The sequence below is a fragment of the Homo sapiens genome, chromosome 4 (assembly GCF_000001405.40).
Source record: "Homo sapiens chromosome 4, GRCh38.p14 Primary Assembly".
In the NCBI taxonomy this organism is placed as follows: domain Eukaryota; kingdom Metazoa; phylum Chordata; class Mammalia; order Primates; family Hominidae; genus Homo; species Homo sapiens.
In genome coordinates this window covers 98,990,326-99,012,596 of record NC_000004.12, presented here as the reverse complement: position 1 = coordinate 99,012,596, position 22,271 = coordinate 98,990,326, and the positions used below count along the sequence as shown (strand labels likewise).

General features: G+C 41.6%; 1 protein-coding gene and 1 non-coding gene across 4 annotated transcripts in view, besides 5 other annotated features; both read right to left on the bottom strand.

Annotated features, from left to right (window-relative positions):
- The window catches only part of METAP1 (methionyl aminopeptidase 1), a 67,089-nt gene extending 50,213 nt beyond the window's left edge, over positions 1-16,876 (bottom strand). For all 3 annotated transcript variants that reach the window (NM_015143.3, XM_017007914.3, XM_011531779.3), the window contains exon 1: positions 16,730-16,876. In NM_015143.3, the coding sequence (NP_055958.2) occupies positions 16,730-16,843 (114 nt within the window). In that variant the 5' untranslated portion in view covers positions 16,844-16,876. The remainder of the gene's footprint in view (positions 1-16,729) is intronic.
- Positions 15,137-15,210, bottom strand: MIR3684 (microRNA 3684). The gene has a single exon (NR_037455.1). It is a non-coding gene; the product is annotated as a microRNA 3684 (primary transcript).
- Positions 15,681-16,463: an enhancer, noted in NCBI's record as "H3K27ac hESC enhancer chr4:99917285-99918067 (GRCh37/hg19 assembly coordinates)". NCBI's record gives its function as "activates a minimal SCP1, AML or CMV promoter by ChIP-STARR-seq in primed H9 embryonic stem cells {active_cell/tissue: H9 hESC(primed)}" and the evidence as "EXISTENCE:reporter gene assay evidence [ECO:0000049][PMID:30033119]".
- Positions 15,681-16,664: a biological region, named in NCBI's record as "H3K27ac hESC enhancer GRCh37_chr4:99917285-99918067".
- Positions 16,205-16,664: a silencer, noted in NCBI's record as "silent region_15581". NCBI's record gives its function as "represses an Ori minimal core promoter by ATAC-STARR-seq in GM12878 lymphoblastoid cells {active_cell/tissue: GM12878}" and the evidence as "EXISTENCE:reporter gene assay evidence [ECO:0000049][PMID:35858748]".
- Positions 16,825-17,144: a silencer, noted in NCBI's record as "silent region_15580". NCBI's record gives its function as "represses an Ori minimal core promoter by ATAC-STARR-seq in GM12878 lymphoblastoid cells {active_cell/tissue: GM12878}" and the evidence as "EXISTENCE:reporter gene assay evidence [ECO:0000049][PMID:35858748]".
- Positions 17,385-17,434: an enhancer, noted in NCBI's record as "active region_21736". NCBI's record gives its function as "activates an Ori minimal core promoter by ATAC-STARR-seq in GM12878 lymphoblastoid cells {active_cell/tissue: GM12878}" and the evidence as "EXISTENCE:reporter gene assay evidence [ECO:0000049][PMID:35858748]".

Sequence of the window (22,271 nt, the reverse complement as noted above, 5' to 3'; positions counted from 1 at the left end):
TACACTAAAAAAGAAACACCTCGGCCGGGTGTGGTGGCTCATGCCTGTAATCCCAGCACTTTGGGAGGCCAAGCGGGGCAGATCACCTGACGTCAGCAGTTCGAGACTAGCCTGGCCAACATGGTGAAACCCTGTCTCTACTAAAAATACAAAAATTAGCCGGGCGTGGTGGCAGGCACCTGTAAGTCAGTGCAGCTACTCGAGAGGCTGAGGCAAGAGAATCACTTGAATCCAGGAGGCAAAGGTTGCAGTAAGCCAAGATTGTGCCACCTCACTCCAGCCTGGGTGACAGAGCGAGACACTGTCTTGAAAAAAAAAAAAAAAAAACTCACATTAACAACCCGACTTTTACCTCAAGAACTAGAAAAAGAAGAAAAGATAAAACCTAAGGCTAACAGAAGGAAATAATAAATATTAGAAATTAATAGGCAATAAGGAAGACTGAGGTGGGAAGGACTGCCTGAGGCCAGGAATGCAAGACCGGCCTGGACAACACAGCAAGACCCCATCTTTACCCAAAAAAATAAAAACAATGAAAAGAAAGTGGCCAACCCTTAGCTAGACTACCGAAGAAAAGAGATAAGACTCAATAACTAAAAAGGAGGAGAGAAAACTTCCAAGCTCATTTTGTTTTGTTTTGTTTTGTTTTGTTTTTTGAGATGGAGTTTCACTCTTGTTGCCCAGGCTGGAGTGAAATGGAGCGATCTCTGCTCACCGCAACCTCCGCCTCCTAGGTTCAAGCAATTCTCCTGCCTCAGCCTCTCGAGTAGCTGGGATTACAGGCATATGCCACCACGCCTGGCTAATTTTGTATTTTTAGTAGAGATGGCATTTCTCCATGTTGGTCAGGGTGGTCTCGAACTCCCAACCTCAGGTGATCCGCCTGCCTCAGCCTCCCAAAGTGCTGGGATTACAGGCATCAGCCACCACGCCCAGCCCAAGCTCATACTTTGAAACCACCATTACCCTTATACCAAAGCCAGATAAAGACTAAAGACCAGTATCCCTTATAAATATTGATGCAAAATCTTGAACAAAACACTAACAAATAAATTCAATAGCACACTGAAAGGACTATACACCATGACCAAGTGGAATTTATTCCAGGAATGCAAGAATATTCAAAAACAAAAATCAATTTAATACATCACATTAACAGAATGAAGGATAAAAATCACATAATCATCTCAATTGATTCAGAAAAACCATCTGACAAGATCTGATACTCCTTCAAAATAAAGACACTCAACAAACTAGGAATACATGAAAATTACCTCAACATAACAAAGCTCATATATAAGACGCCCATAACTAACATCAAACTCAATGGTGAAAGACAGAAAGCTTTTCATCTGAGTCCAGGAACAAGATAAAGATGCCAGCTCTCATCACTTCTATTCAACATTGTATTGGAAGTCCTAGCCAGAGCAATTAGGCAAGAAAAAGAAATAAAAGGCATCCAAATTAAAAAGGAAGAAGTAAAATTATCTCTGTTCACAGATGACATGATCTTATACATGTAGAAAACCTTAAAGATTTCATTAAAAAAAAAACTGTTAGAGCTAATAAACTAAAGTTGCAGGATAATCAACATAAAAATCAGTTGCATTTCTATACACTAACAATGAATAATTTTAAGATAAATTAAGGAACAATTCCATTTAAAAATAAATTTCCATTAAAAATAAAATACCTAGAAATAAACCTAAACTAAGGAGGTTAAAAGACTTGTATAATGCAAACTACAACACGTTGCCAAAAGCAAGTAAAGGCAACACAAATAGAGAGACATCCCATGTTCATGTATCTGAAAACGATAAGGTTAAGATATCAATATTACCCAAAGCAGTTTACAGATTCAATGCAATCCTCACCAAATCCCAATGGCATATTTTGCAGAAATTGAAAAAAATTCTAAAATTCATATGAAATCTCAAGGGACCCAAATAGCCAAAACAATTCTGAAAAAGAGCAAATTTGGAAGACTCACACTTCCTGATATCAAAACATACCAGAGCTACAGTAATGAAAATGGTGTAATACTGGCATAAAAACAGATACACAGACAAATGGAACAGAATCCAGAAATAAATCCTTGTGTATTTGGTCATGTGTGTTTTTTGGGAGGTTTTTGTTTTTTAAAGATGGGGTCTCACCTCGTCACCTAAGCTGGAGTGCAGTGGCACAATCATAGCTCACTGCCACCTCAAACTCTTTAGGGCTCAAGGGGTCCTCCTGCCTCAGCCTCCCAAGTAGTTGGCACTACAGGCGCATGCCAACACGCCTGGCTAATTTTTGTATTCTTTGTAGAGAAAGGGTTTCACCATCTTGCCCAAACTGGTTTCGAATTCCTGGGCTCAAGCAATCCTCCAGTTTCAGCCTCCCAAAGTGCAGGGATTACAGGTGTGAGGCACCACACCTGGCCTCAGATGATTTTTGACAAGGGTGCCAACAGGCAAAGAATAGTCTCTTCAATAAACACTGTTGGGAAAACTGGATCCAAATGCCAAAGAATAAAGTTGTGCCCTTATCTTAACCATATATAAAAATTAACTCAAAAGAGATTAAAGACCTGAACATGAGACCCAAAACTATAAAACTCCTAGATGAAAACATAAGGGAAATGGGGAAATACTTTGTGACAATGGACTAGGCAATGATTGTTTGGAGATAACACCAAAAGCACAGGCAATTAAAGCAAAAACAGACAGATGAGACTACTCAAACTTAAAAAACTTTTGTTCATCAAAGGACACAATCAACAGAGTAAAAGGTAACCTATGGAATAGGAGAAAAGATTTGCAAATAACATACCTGGTAATGGGTTGACATCTAGATTATATTTTAAGACTCTTACAACATAATATCAAAAAATGAATTAACCCAATTTTTAAAATGGGCAAAAGACTTAAGCAGACATTTCTCCAAAGATGATATATACTAGCCAACAGGCATATGAAACGTGCTCAACATCACTAATCATCAGAAAAGTGCAAATCAAAATCTCTATGAAGTATCAGCTCATACCCATTAGGATGACTACTATGAAAAAAACAAAACAGAAAAGAACAAATGTTGGTGGGGATATGGAGAAATCAGAACCCTTGTACATTGTGTTGGAATTGTAGAACAATCCAACTACTATAGAAAACAGAATGACTGCTCCTCAAAAAACTAAAAACAAATAATCGTGTGATCCAGCAATCCCACTTCTGAGTATAGATCCAAAAGAACTGAAAGCAGGGTCTCAAGGAAATATTTGCACGCTCGTGTTCATAAGCACTATTTACAATAACCAAGAGGTAGAGACAACCCAAATGTCCATCAAGAGAAGAATGGATAAACACAACATGCGGTACACATAAAATGAAATACTATGCAGCCTTACAAAGGAAATCCTGTGACGGGTACAACATGAAGGAACTTTCAGGGCATTAAGTGAAATCAGCCAGTCACAAAAGAACAAATATTGTGTAATCTGACTTATATGAAATGTCTAAAGTAGTCAAATTCCTACAGAAAGTAGAATAGTAGTTACCAGGGGTTTGGGAAACAGGACAAAGGAGAGTTGCTGTTATAGGGCTATGGAGTTCAGTTCTGCAAAATGAAAACGTTCTAGAGATCTGTTTCACAACATAAATATGCTTAACACTACTGAACTATACACATAAAAATAATTAAGACAGTAAAATTAAATGTTTTTTATAACAAATTTTTTAAAGATATGTAAAAAATGGTAAATTACAAAACTGTATAGGTGTATATAATGCAGAGCAACAATTCTATTTTATTTTGAAAGATAAAAAACAGCAGCTAACATTTGAGATTTTACTACATACCAAGCACTGATTAGGCAGAGAATTAATCCTCACACCACTACCAAGACATAGGTACTATTATCACAGATATCTCATTTTACAGATGAGAAAGCTGAGGCACAGATTAACATGTCCAAAAAACACAGGGGTAATTAATGACAAGTCCAAGTTTTGAATGCAGGCCCTCTTAAGACAGCATCCATGTTCTTAACCTGTATATAGTACATATGTAAAAATCTGGAAAGATAAGAAACCAAACAATGCTTTGGTTTTAGGATGCTAGAATTATGATAGTTTTCACCTAACACACTTCTGTTTTAAATTTCTGCAAAGATCATGTACTCCTTTTTATAACAATATATTTAACAGGAAATATTTACATTTTGGAAAAAAATATTCAACTGAACAGCAAGGTCTCTATCCCTACTAACGATCATTTCATTTCCTTATATTTCTGTACTTGGACTCTTCCTTAAAGTAAAGCTGCTAATCTACTTGCTATTACCTACATGCCTCAGCTTGCTCCTACTTCCATAAACACATCCTTTCCCTGCAGAGAATGTCCTCTCCTTCACCTTAATATATACCATTTTATTTACCTACTCCTCTATTTGATTTTCACACCTATTTATCAAAATTCAGTTCTTAACTCCTTCATGAGGCGTTTCAAAGCCTGTCTTTACCTAGTACATTGTTCAGCTACTTAGTGTGCTGCTTTTAAAAACTGTTCTTTAGCTGTTTTATCTGTGTCCTCCACATGAGCAATATTCCTTGAAGATGTCACTACCCCTTCTTCTAAAGGCAAGGACATTACAGGAGGAAGCATACCTAGCACTCAGATGTAGATTTCTAAAAACATTCCTGCCAGAAACCAGGGCTGCTTAGAAACAAGACTGATTGCAGATCTGGGGCTGGGAAAGTATTAGGGAATGTGTTTTATCATATGCCAGAGAGCTAGGAAGCAATCAGAGAGTAATGGAGGAGACTCAAAAGGATATAGAAGCCACTTTAAAGGTGATAACACTAATCAAATTTGAGACAATTTGAACATGAAAAAGAAAACAATCCAAAGCTCCTAATTGAAAACAACAAACATTTGCAACTACTGGTTAGTGCCCAGTACACAACCATTTCTATCTTCTTGGTAGGAATGGTGGAACGTAGTTCATTTACCAGTTGATGAGGGAAAACTCTACCTTACAGAAAAAAAAAAAAAGATCAGCTATTGAATGACAGACTTAGGGAGAAAATCACCATTTGCAACCTCCACTGAAATAATTATCAGGTAAGGATCATCGCAATGCTAAAACCACTCAGAGAAAGATTGTTGAGAAAATGCATACTCTCCAAGTGCCAGAATATCATCCCACAGATTAAATGCCAATTGTGAGGTTAAAAAAAAGTACCTGTGCAATCAATGGTGATCTGCTAGGAACAGAACCACCAGCCACTCTGTGCCTCCTGATGTGATGAAATGTGAAGTGGATAACATCACCTATGAGTCTTGTCAACAGCGTTTCACGGTCAGGTGCAGTGGCTCACACCTGTAATCCCAGTACTTTGGGAGGCCGAGGCAAGCAGATCACTTGAGCCCAGGAGTGAGACAGCAGCCCGGGCAACATAGGGAGATCTCCATCTCTACAAAAAGTACAAAAATTAGCCAGGCATGGTGGCATGCCTATGGTCCCAGCTACTCAGGAGGCCAAGGCGGGAGCATCACTTGAGCTCAGGAGGTTGAGGCTGTAGTGAGCCATGATCACACCACTGCACTGTAGCCTGGGCAACAGAATGAGACCGTCTCAAAAAAAAAAAAAAAGTGTTTCACAAATCTAACAGCAGTTGGGCTTGATTTCTGGCTTACAGAAACTACAGGGGACAAAAGAACAACTTAAAGACACTTTGAGGAAACAGTTAATCAAAAATGTGTAACATTCTACAAGACAACTGACTAGCCTCTTCAAGAAGCTAGTATCATGAAAATAAGATGAGGACTATTCTAAATTAAGAGACATGACAGCCAAATGCTATATGTGAGCTTTGATAGGTTCCTGAGTCTATAATCAAAAAGCAAAACAAACAAAAAAGCTTTTATGGATGACATTTGGGAGATAATTGAGAAATTTAAGTAAGATTGGCCTATTAGATGAAATCAGAGAATTCTTGTTAATCTTCTTAGGTGTAATAATAGTATTATAGTTAAGAATGCCCTTGTCATTAGAAAATGTTTGCTGAATATTTAATAGATTCAGTGTCGTGTTTTCTGTGTCTTATTCCCAAAATATTTCAACAAATACACATATACACACACACCCAATACACATACAAGCACACATAAATAAAACAAATACAGCAAAATGTTAACTTAGGTGAAGAGTATACTGCAATTATACTATATTCTTCTTTAAACTTTTCTATTTGTTTGAAATTTGTCACAGTAAAAAGCTAGAGAAACTCAGTAAAATTATAAAAAATTCAAGGAAAACATAGTTCCTTGTCTATAACATTCACTAGCACTTCCCTGTTATTTATCTTTTTTCCAGTACTTCTTGTCTATACAAGAATAGCATAAGCCCCTTGAAGACAGTTAAACCCTTTTAAATTTTTGCAAGTGTACTGATGCAAATAGCCCAGTGAACACTGCTGTTCATGAGTAATACACAACTCCAGACTGGCAAAAATAAAAAGTCTGTTAACAACAAGTCCTAGCTAGCATATGAAACAACATAAACTCTCTATAAGTACCACCATTTTTGTTTTTTGTTTAATGCTAAAGTCTGAGATTTTAGTGCAGTCATCCTAGTATGTACATTGTACTAAATATGTAGTTTCTTATCCCTCACCCTCAGCCAGCCCTCCCCCTTTCTGAGTCTCCAAAGTCCATTATACCACTCCGAATGTCTTTGAGTACCCACAGCTTAGCTCCTACTTGTAAGCGAGACGACCTGGTACTTGGTTTTCCATTCCAGAGTTACTTCACTTAGAATAACAGCCTCTGGTTCCTTCCACGTTGCTGCAAAAGATATTATTTCATTCTTTTTTTAATGGCTGGGGAGTATTTCATGATGTATATATATCAAATTTGCTTTATCCACTCATCAGCTGACACTTAGGTTGGTTCCCTATCTTTGCAATTGTGAAATGTGCTGCGATAAACATACATATACAGGTGTCTTTTTATATAATGACTTCTCTTCCTTTGGATAGATACCCAGTGGTTTCTACAGTGGTTGTACTAAATTACATTCCCACCAGCAGTGTTTAAGTATTCCCTTTTCATCACATCCATGCCAACATCTATTGTTCTTTGACTTTTTAGTAATGGCCATTCTGGCTGGAGTAAGGTGGTATCTCATTGTGGTTTTAATTTGCATTTCCCTGATGATTAGTGACATTGAGCATTTTTTCATATGTTTGTTGGCCATATCTTCTTTTGAGAAAATTCTATTTAGGTCATTTGCCCACTTTTTGATGAGATTATTTGATTTTTTTTTCTTGCTGATTTGTTTGAGTTCCTTGTAGATTCTGGGTATTAGTCCTTTGTCAGATGCATAGTTTGCAAATATTTTCTCCCTACAGGTTGTCTGTTTACTGTGATTATTATTATTATTTTTGCTGTGCAGAAGCTTTTTACTTTAATTATGTCCCAATTATTTATTTTGAAGTACAACCACTTTGGAAAACAATCTGGTATCATCAAAGTAAAGCTAAACACATATCCTATGACCCAAAAAATTTACTCCTTAGGGGTATACCCAAGAGAAATTTTTACAAACAGGCACCAAGAATCAGGCACAAGAATGTCTAGAGGAGGACTATTTATAATAGAAAAACCGTAACAACCCAAATTTCCATTGACAGAAGAATGTAAAAGTTATGATATATTAATTTATTGGAATATCACATAGCAGTGAAAACAATGAAAATGAACCAGAGCTACAATGAAACATGGATAAATCTCAGGAACATAATGACAAACAAAAAAACGCATGTTGTAAAAGAATACATGTAATCATTTTGTTGGTAAAAAAAATTTCAAAAACATTAAAAATACATTTTTTAAGAAATCAAACATGGAAATGCAAATGAATGATAAACACAAAATTCAGGATATGGAATACCTCTTGGATGAGGGACAAAGAAAAAGGAGCCTTCTGTTTTCACTTGTTTTCCTGGTAATGTTCTTTTTAATAAGTTAGATGGTAGGTATATAGGCATTTACTGTATCATGCTTCTTTAGATCCCGTGGATGATTTGCTGTGTTATTTTGTGTGTGTGTGTGTGTGTGTGTGTGTGTATGTGTGTGTGTGTGTGTGTGTGTGTGTGTGTGTGTGTATCTGTCCACAGTTCCTTGGCTAATAACTCCCCTAGCCTTGTTGCAGTCTCGTTATAGTGTTGGGTGCTTTAGGCCTCAGGAAACAGACTCTCTCCAACCTTCTCCTGCTCTCTTCCTTTCACCCTACCTGAAGGCAAGTGTCTAACCCCCACCTTTGTGATGTGGGTCATAAGACTCTCATTCCAGAGAGGGTCCCACCCCATATACCCTGAAGGAATGAAGATTCCATAAAAACCCAAGAGGATTGGGTTCAGAGAGTTTCCAAATAGCTAGCTGAACACTGAACTCATGGAAGCTTGGCATCCCTTCCCCAATACCTTGCCCTATGCATCTCTTCATCTGTATCCTCTGCAATATCCTTTATAATAAACTAGTAAAATAAGTATTTTCCTGAGTTCTGTGAGCTGCTCTAGCAAATTAACCAAACCCAAAGAGGGGGAGCCATGAGAACCCCAACTTGAAGCCAGTCAAGTTTTAAGTTCCGGAGGCCCAAACTCGTGACTGGTGTCTGAACAGGGTGGGAAAGGGGCAGCTTCGAGGACTAAGCCCTCTATCTCTGGGATCTGACACTATATCCAGTCAAACAGTGTAGGAAATGAACTAAAGGACACCCAGTTGGTGTCCACTGCAGAAATGATTGCTCGCTTGGTGGTGAGGAGAAACCCCCATAGGTTTGGTTACAGAAATCATCTGTGTTGATGACTGTTGTGGTATGAGAACAGAGGGAAAAAAGTTTGAGTTTTTTTCCCAAACATTTACTAATATTTTTATTCTACTCAATATCAAAAACAATTTAGAAAACATACATCGACAGATCCTGACTTTATGGTCCTTAAAACTTTAATTCAAAAGCAATATTAAATTATTCATGTAACAACATTCACATTTTTCTCTATCATTTGTTTAGTGGAGTGAGAAGTTAACAGTATTCTAATAGTCAATCCCATCCCTATTACCAGTTAGTGAAATAATCAGTAATAACATAAATCCCCACTCAGAAGACAAAAAAAAGTTATGACATTTTTAAAACCTAACGGAACTTACATTTACCTATTTTATTGAACGACTAAGCCTGTAACTTGCTGGATAAGACAGGGTTAACCTTCAGAATGTGATGCAAAGATTGGTTTGCGTTTTGTACTTAAATCACAGAAGAATCATTAAACACACATTCAAAACACAGAGAAGTCTCTGTTGCCTCCCACTTTATAATGATAAGGGAAGTTGCTAAAGTTACAATTTCACTTATCATTTATATCCTAACCACTCTTTAAAGGCTTGAGCCTGTGACCCAGATAAATGCCACATTAGCAGATAGCAGACCCCAATTAACAGGGGCTTTTCTTGGTTTGTTGTTTTTTGTTTGTTTGTTTGTTTTTGAGACAGTCTTATTCTGTTGCCCAGGCTGGAGTGCAGTGGCGCAATCTCAGCTCACTGAAACTCCACCTCTCAGGTTCAAGAGATTCTTGTGCCTCAGCCTCCTGAGTAGTAGCTGGGATTACAGGCATGCACCATCACCACCCAGCTAATTTTTGTATTTTCAGTAGAAACGGGGTTTCCCCATGTTGACCAGGCTGATCTCGTAGCAAGATATCTGCCCGCCTCAGCCTCCCAAAGTGCTGGGATTACAGGCATAAGCCACGGCGCCTGGCCTTAACAGGGTTTTTAGAAATGCTTTCCAACAGACATGGCACAGCTCTGGTGTATCAGGAAGAAATCTTTACTGAGCCTTGCAATAAGTCAGGTTACTGGAGATAAAAACAGGAGAGAACTTATTTACAACTTACAAAGCATGAGAAGTTCCATGGGGTCCCTATCCTAGTTTCATCCATAAGGTGCCCCACACACACATGCACACACAATGAGAAAGGCAGGCCTCGTTTACAGAGTGTTTTGAATTGCTCTTTATTCAAACCCAGAGACAAGACTGATACCAATCAAGGAAATCAAAGGAAAAGACTTATAATTGTTGAGCTGGGAGCACTACCTGCCCAAGCATGAATAAAAGAATGCTTCATGTTAAAACTGTGAGGTCAGGCGAAGTTCAGGATCAAGCACAAAGGGTTGTAATTACATTTATATTCCATTACATTAAACATTTGATACAGAATGAAGCTCAACGGTTGCTTTATAAAGTATTTCTGCCTATTTAATATCTATCTAAAAGTGTTTGCTATTGCAGTAATACCAAAGACAATTACAGAAGGAGTTACCGTGCCACTGCTTTTCTTCCGAATATCTAGAGCTGGAATGAGCTTAGCTATGCACTTATGTCTGTCACTCCTATGAAATTTACTAAAACTTAACTAAAATTTTGCAAATATGCTAAACATGAAAAAGATTCACCTTAAAAAACCATGACTAAAACTTGATTTCAATCCACAAACTAAGTGAACAGTATAAGATCACATTTCCTATAGCACTTCAATTTCCAAAAAGGTAACTCAAAGACTGGTATAACTTTTGATTGCCTACCAACCAAATGATGCTCGTTTTTTTGTTGTTGTTGTTTTACAAATTCTACTGTAATGTAGGTATATTTCATGCCAAAACTTCATAGATGACCAGAAGGCCCTCAAACCAACAATAATCCACTAACTACACTGTGAGAACCACTGTTCTGGAAAAGGATATAGAATTAGCTTAGGATAGTTCAATTCTGGGTTCATGTACCAAATCCTGTACCATTATTATACGTTCCTGAGTAAGTCAAAATGATTTAAATTTTCGAGGAATATTTATTGAAGAGTAAACAGAAGGTAAAAAATTGAAAAGAAATTAAATTCAACTATAAGTGAATAAACAAATGACAGTACACCCATAACAGTCTTTATAAAGGATCATGTAAATGTAGCCATGACATGACACTACCAAAACACTGGTTAAGACATTAAGGATGAGAAAATTCTCTAAGATTATATGTATTATGGTTGCCATTTTTGTAAAAACATACACAACTGTGTGCACATGAATAAATACGCAAATATGTTCTTAAGAATACACACCAAAATTTCATAGAAATCATCTCTGGGTAATTGATTATCTTCACACATATTTTCTATTTTTCTACAATAAACAATTTATGAAATTATTTTTGTTTTGTTTTAAAAAGACTCATAATTTCTCTTTACCTCATCCTATCTTTTTGCTTATAAGAAGCTATGGCATTTGTACCTAAACTCAGCTAACTTACAGGAGTGTTTAAGGGTGGTCTGAAGTGACATGAGGAATTTAAAGAAAATCCCTATAAATAAAAACGCACAACATGATAATATCTCCTTTAATGAAGATGAATTCCAGAAACACCCTGCACTGGCAGGAATGTTGTTACTGACAGAGAAAGTTTCAGAGGGCAGGGTTGCATTTCAAAGATACTGCATGTTATAACGGCAATTCCTTCTCTACCTTCTAACTCCAACCTACAAGATGCTCAACAAGACTTTCTTCCAGCCAGGTGCAGTGGCTCACACCTGTATAGACAACACTTTGGGAGGCTGAGGCAAAGTGGAACTCAGAAATTCAAGACCAGCCTGGGCAACACGGTGAAACCCCGTCTCTACCAAAAACACAAAAAATTAGCCAGGTGTGGTGGCTCAAACTGGTGTTCCCAGCTACCTGGGAGGCTGAGGTAGGAGGATCACTTGAGCCTGGGAGGTGAAGGTTGCAGTGAACCAAGATCACGCCACTGCACTTCAACCTTGGGTTGACAGAGTAAGATCCCAACTCAAAAAAAAAAAAAGAGAGAGAGAGAAGAAAAACTGTCTTGTTATTTAAAAAAAAAAAAAAAAAAGACTTTCTTCCTGGATTCAGTTAATCATGTTACCTACCACTTCTTTTAAAGAACCTATTATTGGATTTGTCAAAAATGTTCATAAACAAGTAACATTTCCCCTCAAAGATTTTTAAGCCTTCCTTGGTACTGATTTTAATAACATTACATATGAGGTTATATGCACAATAAGGCCCAAATTTACTATATGCTCTACTAGGCACCCTGGATGCTCTCTTAGTCACCTTCTGCTCAACTCCATTGAAGAGGATGCTTCATTAAGCAAAGGAGGGGACTTACCCAAGGTCATGGGAGCAAAATCCAGGTCTCCTTCCACTTACACTATGCTTACTACCTTTTATGCCTTATAAATATAAATAGTTACAGATCACTCAGGTCCCTCCCAGCTGATCCTCTAACCAGAGGAGACAGCAACTGCCCTATGCTATTCACAAAGTTAAACATCAGCTAAAAAACTGAAAAGTAACTAAATTCAACCATAAGCAAATAAATGAGTGTATCAACAATATACTATACTATTCAGTGTTTACAAAGGATAATGTAAATACAGAATTTCTTTGTTTTCCATTGCAAGCCCACTGATGTCTTTTCTTTCATGTAAGGAAATGAGGGCCTACTGTGGGCAAGGCACTTTGGAAAATACAAAAATGAGTAAAACACACCCTCTGTCCTCAAAAAATTCTTACACACAAATGAAAAAGACATACATAAACTATTAAATAGGAAGGAAAACTTCTATTAATAAACACAATCGAACATCAAGAACTCTTGGAAAACTCAATTTTCAAGTAAAACTGGTTGTACTCCTCTAAAGAACAAAAGCTTTCCTTAAAATCAAACATCCTAGGCTGGCACAGTGGCTCATGCCTGTAATCCTAGCACTTTGGGAGGCTGAGGTAGGCGGATCACGAGGTCAGGAGTTACAGACCATCCTAGCTAACACGGTGAAAGCCCGTCTCTACTAAAAATACAAAAAAATTAGCCAGGCGTGGTGGTGCGCACCTGTAATCTCAGCTACTGGGGAGGCTGAAGCAGCAGAATCGCTTGAACCCGGGAGGCAGAGGTTGCAGTGAGCCGAGATCACACCACTGCACTCCAGCCTGGGTGACAGAGCAAGACTCGGTCTCAAAAAAAAAAAAAAAAAAAATTAAGCATCCTAGATAAAATATTTCTACTTTCCTAAACATAAAACAGTATAACAATAAAAAGAGCTAACATTCATTAAGTTTACTAATATGCTAAGAGCTTTACATACTTTGGATTTAGTCTTCATCAAAACCCTGAGATAGGTATTATTAATAGCCCCATTTTAAAAAGATACAGCTGAAAAAGAGAGGTTATTTGCCCAAGTCACATAACTAGTAAATGATGGAGCTGTGATTCAAACACAGCAGTATACCTCTCTATTTTGATGCATTTATCCATTAATTCAAACATTTAATGGCCACCTACTGCATACAGAGCATCATACTGGGAAATGAGAACAGGGCAGTGAACAAGATAGGATCATTCATGAAGTTCACCTTCCGACTAAAAAACAGACATTCTCGGCCGGGCATGGTGGCTCACGCCTGTAATCCCAGCACTTTGGGAGGCCAAGGAGGGTGGATCACCTGAGGTCAGCAGTTCGAGACCAGCCTCAACATGGAGAAACCCCATCTCTGCTAAAAATACAAAATTAGCTGAGCGTGGTGGTGCATGCCTGTAATTCCATCTACTTGCGAGGCTGAGGCAGGAGAACTGCTTGAACCTGGGAGGCGGAGGTTGCGGTGAGTCGAGATCGCACCATTGCACTCCAGCCTGGGCAACAAAAGCGAAACTCCGTCTCAAAAAAAAAAAAAATCCTCATTTTTCTAACAGGTGAGGTAATCATAGATTGCACAAAAGGTCATAAAGGAATAAACAAGGTGGTGTGACAGAGTAACTGGGAATGCCTTACTTCTGTTAATGGTGTGATAGAAAGGCCTCTTGCAGTTTTGTTCTGTTTGTTCCCAAAGACAAGCTGGCCAGACAGCCAGGCCAGGGACCAGAGCAGTAGAAAGAAAGACCTCCTAGTGATCACAGAAGTGTTAAGGAAAATCCCTAATTTCTTCTTTTTGGTTTTTTGTTTTGTTTTGTTTTTGTTTTTTTCTTGAGACGGAGTCTTGCTCTGTTGCCCAGGATAGAGTGCAGTGGTGCAACCTCGGCTCACTGCAACCTCCACCACCCAGGTTCAAGTGATTCTTGTGTCTCAGCCTCCTGAGTAGCTGGGACTACAGGCGTGTGCCACCACGCCCAGCTAATTTTTGTATTTTTAGTAGAGACAGGGTTTTGACATGTTGCCCAGTCTGGTCTCAAACTCCTGACCTCAGGTGATCCACCCGCCTAGGCCTCCCAAAGTGCTGAGATTACAGGTGTGAGCCACCATGCCCAGCCAAGCCCATATTTCATCACAGATGTATAAAGCGCTTAGAATAAGTTACAGTGACTTGATCAAGGTCTCAAGCTGGGATTGGGGGAACAGCTGTGATTTCAGAAGACAGGTGACACTTCGGAAAGGAAAGAATGTAAACATAGCCTTTGGCTAGAGCAAGAGGCTCAGAAGAGGGGCCCTGAATGTGGGGCTGGAATCCTGAAAGCAATGAGGGATACGCATAATCAGACTGCGGGAAAAATAACTTCTGTACAAAAGGTTTTGTTTGATAGGGTTTTTTGTGGGCGTTTGTTTGCAAGGGGAGGAATTACAGTAGAGAAATAAATTAAGAGAGTATGACAACTGATTTGGTGGGAAATTTTAAAAGCTGACCATAGGAGGTGGTAACAGAAATGAAGAAAAAGAGACAGTTGGGACAGCCACTCTGGGAATATTTGAGTGCATGTCTAACAGTGATACCAGAAATATACCTGCAGAATCCAACATGTAAATACCTCCAATCCTAACACACGGAATAAACCCTAGATGTTTTGTTTTCACAAATTTGTCTAGCATTTTTCCACAAACCCCAGTGATTCACCTTCTTTCTACCTGTTTCATGAATGTGGTTTCACACTACCTTTTTAAAATCTTAACAGAAGATTGTAATACATATTAATTCAAAATGCCACCTACTTTTAAAGTTATTCTACTCAGATGGTACAACTGTCAAAAGCAAACACTGTTTCTTAATTTCAGGTCCCACACAGGCCACAACAAGATAGAATTTGGGAATTTTAAAGAATCTAAAGGACGTGTACTAGGTCTAACATGAGTAATGCTCAACATGTTAAACCTAGTACAGGTCCTTTAGATTGTTCGGTAATGCTATTTTTAGATCAAGCAACACTCCTCCACGTGCAAGTTTTTCCAAATTATACTAACAAGGTCAAGGATCATATCCTATCTAAAAACAAGACTGTATAACACAGCTAAGACCTTTTGCAATCGCTTATCTACAAATATTGTGACGTAAAGATTGTATTTATTTATATCTTTACGTTTTTATGTTTTATGTTGGAAAACACTTTTATTATTTGTATTGTGTTCATATATCTGCCTTCATTCTTATTCATATTTTTATTTATGGCAGAGTTAAATCGTACTAGAATCCTTTAAAAAATAAAGGACTTTACATTATAACAGCATTTCACGTTCCTTGGATAATCTGGGTCTCAGAAGAAGCTTGTGAAACTTACAAAGAAAGCTATAATCATCCCCTCTGTACAGTGTAACACTGGAACTCAGAAAGATTAAGTAACTTTACTAATTCAAGATCGCACAATAACTGGCAAGGGCAGGGCCCCAATCAGGCCTTCTCTTTATTCCGGCTCTCCTCCCCACAGGACGCTACCAATTTAATATTTGAATATTCATGTGCCTCTCTTCACTAAACCTGGACTGTAACTAAGAGCCATACTATTGCCGCCCAGCCCTCATCCTGGGTCTCGAAATGCAGCAGCAACACTAGTACTCTTCAGTAAACAGAAACACGAGCACACGCTTCAGTCTGGACCCCATTCAACGCTGGGTTTGCTCTACTGCACAAAACTTAAAATACACTACAGCATTCACGCCTAACCCTCAATGGAACTGTCCTTTTCACTCTGGGAAATTCAGTCACAGGTGACTCATCCCGTTAGCTTACAGTTTTGTAAATTAATAATTTTATATACCGAAAGAAAAGAATGAATTACACAGACCTCTCCCTTCCCCACCCCCAAAGTTGCTTAAGTGTCAAAGCACGGTAGTAAAGCACAAAGAAGTGGGGCTGGAGCTAGCTAGCGTTCCTCCTCTCTGCGACTCCGACGGTCCTCGGGCCACCCATCTCTCAGAGCCCGGCAGGTAGCTTCAGCCCCCCACCCCGCAGGGACCCGACGGACGGCCCGGCGCCTCCAGCGCCCAGACCCGAGCCCCGCCGGTGCTGCGGATGTGGAGGCTCGCGACGCTCGGGCTGCCCTCCTTCCCGGCGCCGCTACCTGCCTCCGGCAGCCCGCACACCTGGCGGCCCCCGCCCCAGCGCGGGGAACCGGCCCCAGAACGCGGAGGTCTAGCGCGGCCACGCGACCCCGCACAGCCCGCTTCCGCCCCAGCCCACATGGCCGCGGCGGGTGGCGCCCCCGCCCCCGCGTGAGCCCAGCGCGGTTCCCGAGGACCCAGGGACCCCAGGAGGCAGGAGGGGGCGGTGGCGACGCGGGTGGGGGGAGGAGGAAACGCGGCCGGGGGGAAGAGGAGGAGCGCGTCCCGACTCGCCGCAAGGGCGGGAGGAGCCAGCAGGGGAGAAGCGAGGAGGGGTCCCGCAGCGGCGGCATATCCGCGGGGCAGCGGGCGCCTACCTGCGAGCAGAAGTACGAGCCCTGGATGCCCAGCTTGATGCAAGTGGGACACTGGAGCTTGGCCTCACTGCTGCAGCCGTCTGTCTCGCACACCCGCGTCTCCACGGCCGCCATGCTGCCTGCCCGCTGGAAGAGCGCCTCACCGAGGAAGAGGCGGCGGCGGGAGGGAGGAACTGCCGGGCGGAGGGGAGGGGAGAGAGACCGAGTCGGGGGAGGAGCTGGGCCCGCCGCTGGCCTGGGCGCGGGAGGGGGAGGAGCCAGGGCCGGCCGGGACCACGCAGCGCGCCCCGCCCCGGCCCCGCCCCCGCCCCGCGCGCGCAGCTGGTGCCCCGCCCCGCCGGCTTCGCCCCGCCCCCCGCCGGCGGTGCCTGCGTGCCCAAGCCTCCCGGCGGCGCGCACATTGGGGCTGTAAGGGAGCTCGGCAGGGCCCCCCCATTCGGCGCCTTCGGGCGTCGGCCAGCAGAGAACGCGACCTGCCGGCGCCTGACGGTGAGGAGCCGCCCTCTCGCGGCGCACTCTCTGTGCCTACAGTCAGATAAGACAGTCGTCTTCACTGACGAACACCCAGGAGCCCTGATCATCCCCGACACCCGCAGGAGGCTAGAGAGGGCGCTGCGCTCCTCTGCGTTGGATTCCCCCGCCGCTCCTTGGAGAACAGTCCCTTGGGTTAAGTTCTGTTTCTCACTGACATTGTCGGGTCTGAGGCCTAAGGACCACCGCTCATTCACAGAAAGGAGAGCCATAGAGCTGTCAACGGGACGGTGGGCTGGGATTCACATCTGCCCTCCCTCCTGCCAGACTTTTTTTTTCCACACACCACCACCTCCCCTTCAAAACCGATAGTGCTAGTAATAGTAACACAACTGTCAGGTATTCAATACAAATAATTTTTTTGTATAATCCCAGTTGATTGCTTCAGCAGTAAATAGGGGAGAATTGTGCTGATCCTGAAATGTCAGAGTCGAAAGAAGCTGTAAAGGCCTTCCCCTGCGAACCTGTTGCTTCAATCTTTTCAGCTGTATTCCAGGTCGGTTGTGTTGTAACTCATGCTTGAGTGCCTCCTTGTCACTAGGGAAGAGCGAAAAACTAACATTTACTGATCACAAAAGGCTGTGAACTTTGTTATTGTATTTTTTTAACTTCTCCGTACTTAATACACCAGAAAAGCTCATACTACTTTTATTTTTAAGAACTTTGTTTTGGCTAGGAGCGGTGGCTGACGCCTGTAATCAATCCCAGCACTTTGAGAGGCCAGGGCATCCAGGGCACCAAGGCCAGCGGATTCTTTGAGGCCAGGAGTTCGAGACCAGGGTGGAAATATGGCAAAACCCCGTCTCTACAAAAACTAAAACTAAAAACTAAAAAATTAGCCGGGCATGGTGGCAGGCGCCTGTAGTCCCAGCTACTGAGGAGGCTGAGCTGGGAGGATCTGTTGAACCTGAGAAGTCAAGGATATGGTAAGCTATGATCCTGCCACTGCACTCCAGCCCAAACGGCAGAGCAAGACCATGTCTCAAAAAAAAAAAAACTTAGTTTTGCAATATAAGCAGTAAAAATGATGTAATAAAATCAAGTAATAGAAATGTTTACATGCATACATACATATACTTTTGTATACAAGAAAAAAATCAATAAGTATGTATGTATGTATAAAATATTTTTTAAATAAAAACTGCACCATACCATATAAAGTAATTTACTTACCTGATTTCTTCAGTTACTATGATGTCAACTTTTTGTTTGTCGTTTGGTTTTTCTTTGAGACAGCATCTCATCCTGTCAACCAGGCTGGAGTGCAGTGGTGCTCACAGTGAGAGGTGACAGCGAGGTGACAGCATGCTGGCAGCCCTCGCAGCCCTTGCTTGCTCTCGGTGCCTCCTGGCCTCAGCTCCCATTCTGGCCGTGCTTGAGGAGCCCTTCAGCCGCCGCTGCACCGTGGGAGCCCTTCTCTGGGCTGGCCGAGGCCAGAGACGGTTCCCTCAGCTTGTGGTAGGTGTGGTGGCAGAGGCACGGGTGGCAACTGCGGCTGCGTGCGTCGCTTGCGGGCCAGCTAGAGTTCCAGGTGGGCGTGGGCTTGGCGGCCCGCACTCAGAGCGGCCGGCCGGCCCCGCCGGCCTCGGGCAGTGAGGGGCTTAGCACCTGGGCCAGCAGCTGCGGAGGGTGCGCCGGGTCCCCCAGCAGTGCCGGCCCACCAGTGCTGTGCTGGATTTCTTGCCGGGGCTTACCTGCCTCCCCACGGGGCAGGGCTCAGGACCTGCAGCCCGCCATGCCTGAGCCTCCCCCGGCCCCACCGTGGGCTCCTGCCCACGTGGCCCAAGCCTCCCCACGAGGGCCACCCCCTGCTCCAGGGCACCCGGTCCCATGGACCACCCAAGGGCTCAGGAGTGTGGGCTTACAGCTCGGGACTGGCAGACAGCTCCACCTGCGGCCCCAGTGCGGGAACCACTGGGTGTAGCCAGCTGGGCTCCTGAGTCTAGTGGGGACTTGGAGAACCTTTATGTCTAGCTAAGGGATTGTAAATACACCAATCAGCACTCGTATCTAGCTCAAGGTTTGTAAACACACCAATCAGCACCCTGTGTCTAGCTCAGGGTTTGTGGATGCACCAATCCACACTCTGTATCTAGCTAATCTGGTGGGGACTTGGAGAATCTTTATGTCTAGCTAAGGGATTGTGAATACACCAATCAGCACTCTGTATCTAGTGCAAGGTTTGTAAATGCACCAATAAGCATCATGTGTCTAGCTCAAGGTTTGTAAATGCACCAATCAGTGCTCTGTGTCTAGCTAATCTAGTGGGAACTTGGAGAACTTTTGTGTCTAGTTCAAGGTTTGTACACGCACCAATCAGCAACCTGTCAAAATGGACCAATCAGCTCTCTGTAAAATGGACCAATCAGCAGGATGTGGGTGGGGCCAGTTAAGGGAATAAAAGCAGGCTGCCCAAGCTAGCAGTGGGAACCCATGGGGGTTACTTTCTGCACCGTGGAAGCTTTGTTCTTTCACTCTTTGCTATAAGTCTTGCTACTGCTCACTCTTTGGGTCCACACTGCATTTATGAGGTGTAAGACTCACCATGAAGGTCTGCAGCTTCATTCCTGAAGCCATCGAGACCACCAACCCACCCGGGAGAACAAGCAACTCCAGAAGTGCCGCCTTAAGAGCTGTAACACTCACCGTGAAGGTCTGCAGCTTCACTCCTGAGCCAGCGAGACCAGGAACCCACCAGAAGGAAGAAACTCTGAACACATCTGAACATCAGAAGGAACAAACTCCAGGCACGATGCCTTTAAGAACTGTAACACTCACGGTGAGGGTCCATGGCTTCATTCTTGAAGTCAGTGAGACCAAGAACCCACCAATTCCGGACACAACAGCTCACTGCAGCCTCAACATCCTGAGCTCAAGTGATGTTCCTGCCTCAGCCTCTGGACTAGTTAGGACTACAGGTACACGCCACCTTGCCCAGCTAATTTTTTAGCTTTTTTGTGGAGACAGGGGTCTCACTATGTTGTCCAGGCTGGTCTTGAACTTCTGGGCTGAAGTGGTCCTGTCACCCCCGCCTCCCAAAGTGCTGGGATTACTGGCACAAGCCACTGCACACAACATTCTTTATTGTCATCAATTATACTTTTACCACATAATTTTAATGTCTGCATAATATTCTATCGTATGGGTAATTTACTGAACCAAATCCACTAATAATGGACATTTAGGTTATTTTAAATTGTTATCTATTATAAACAAGGTTTCAGTGAATATCCGTTTAGCTAAAACTTTACATACATCCTTATTTACTTAGGAGATATATATATATATATATATATATATTTTTTTTTTTTTTTTTTTTTTTTAATAGCAACAGGGTCTCCCTATGTTGCCCAGGCTGGTCTCGAACTCCTGATCTCAAGCCATCCTCCCACCTTGGCCTCCCAAAGTACTGGGATGAGCAGGCATGCAGCCTGCATGCAGGCATGAGGCGAGGAGGTCTTCAGATACAGTCTTAAAAGTGGAATTGCTGCGTTAAGAGTTTTCACTGTCTTTTGTTCTTTATATAGTTTGCCATATTTTTACATATCTCAGTGTAACTCCCTACAAAACGTTTATCATTTAAAAAGGAAAAATAGTAACTTTAAAGTGGAGAGACCTGGGAGATACTCTTTATTGTGATCAAAGTGAAAAATCACCAATAATGTGACAAATAGACATTGTACACCTCTCTATATGAACCATTGAGGAGAATACAGTATTATCTTTTCTAGTGTTCCTGAAAAAAAATGCATAAATGCCTCTAATCATGAGGAAATATCAGACAAACACAAGCTGAAGACATTCTACAATATAATTGACCTATGCTCTTCAAAATGCCAATGTCCCAAAAGACAGATTTGAAGAACTCTTCCAGATTCAAGGAGACTGAAGAGACCTGACAGCTAAATGCAACACATGATCATGGGTTGGATTTTTGGATCAAAAGAAAGAAAGGTTTTTGCTATAAAGGAAATTAGGTTGCGTTGTATCCTTATGAATTCCCTGATTTTGACAATTACACATAGTGGAAGTCAGAAAGAGAAATGAATGATAAGACAAATGTGAGAGAACGTTAAAAATTGGAGAACCTGGGTATAGCAGAGTTTTTTATTTTTTCAATTTGCTACTTTTCTACAGCTTTGAAATTATTTTAAAATAAAAGTTTTAGAAATTCTTCCTCTCAAAAGCAAGTAAATGGTGCTAAAAATTAAAAATTAGAATTAAAAATTCTTCCTAGATGCTCAACTGCAGGATCAAGTCCAATCCAGGCTTTTTGTGTATACCTCCACGTAACTCAGCCTCGTCTCATTATTTTTCATGCCTAGGCCTTGACCATTTAGCAATAGCAAGATGCTCATGTTTTCCTGAACACATAGTGCTATTTCATTCTTCCATGTTCTTATACATGTTGTTTCCTCTGTCTGGATTGCCTTTCCCCACTTGATCTCTTGGTGAAAGTACCATTTCCTTAAGATCCGGCTCTGACATCGCTTCACCCATTAAACTTCTGCTGACCTCCTTAGCTCTACTTAATCAGTGCCTCCTCTGTGCTACCTCTAAACCAAGTACAAAGTGCTATTGTTACAATTGACAATAATTTTAGGTAACATTTATTAAGGACTTAATATATCCTAGGCATATAGTCATGTGTATGACATTCCAACACTTGGGTCAATGACAGAGCACATATACAACAGTGGTCTCATAAGATTTATTATGCCATATTTTTACTGGAACTTTGTATGTTGAGATACATTTAGATACACACATACCACTGTGTTACAATTGCCTACAGTGTTCAGTGCAGTAACATGCTGTACAAGTTTGTAACCTCAAAGCAGTAGACTGCCTGTGCACCACACAGCCAGGCGTGTAGTAGGCTACACCACCTAGGTTTGTGTAAGGACACTTTATGATATTCACACAACCACAAAATCACCTGACAATGCGTTTCTCAGAGCATATCCCCATGGTTAAGCAACACATAACTAGTGAGATGTAAAAGTATAGA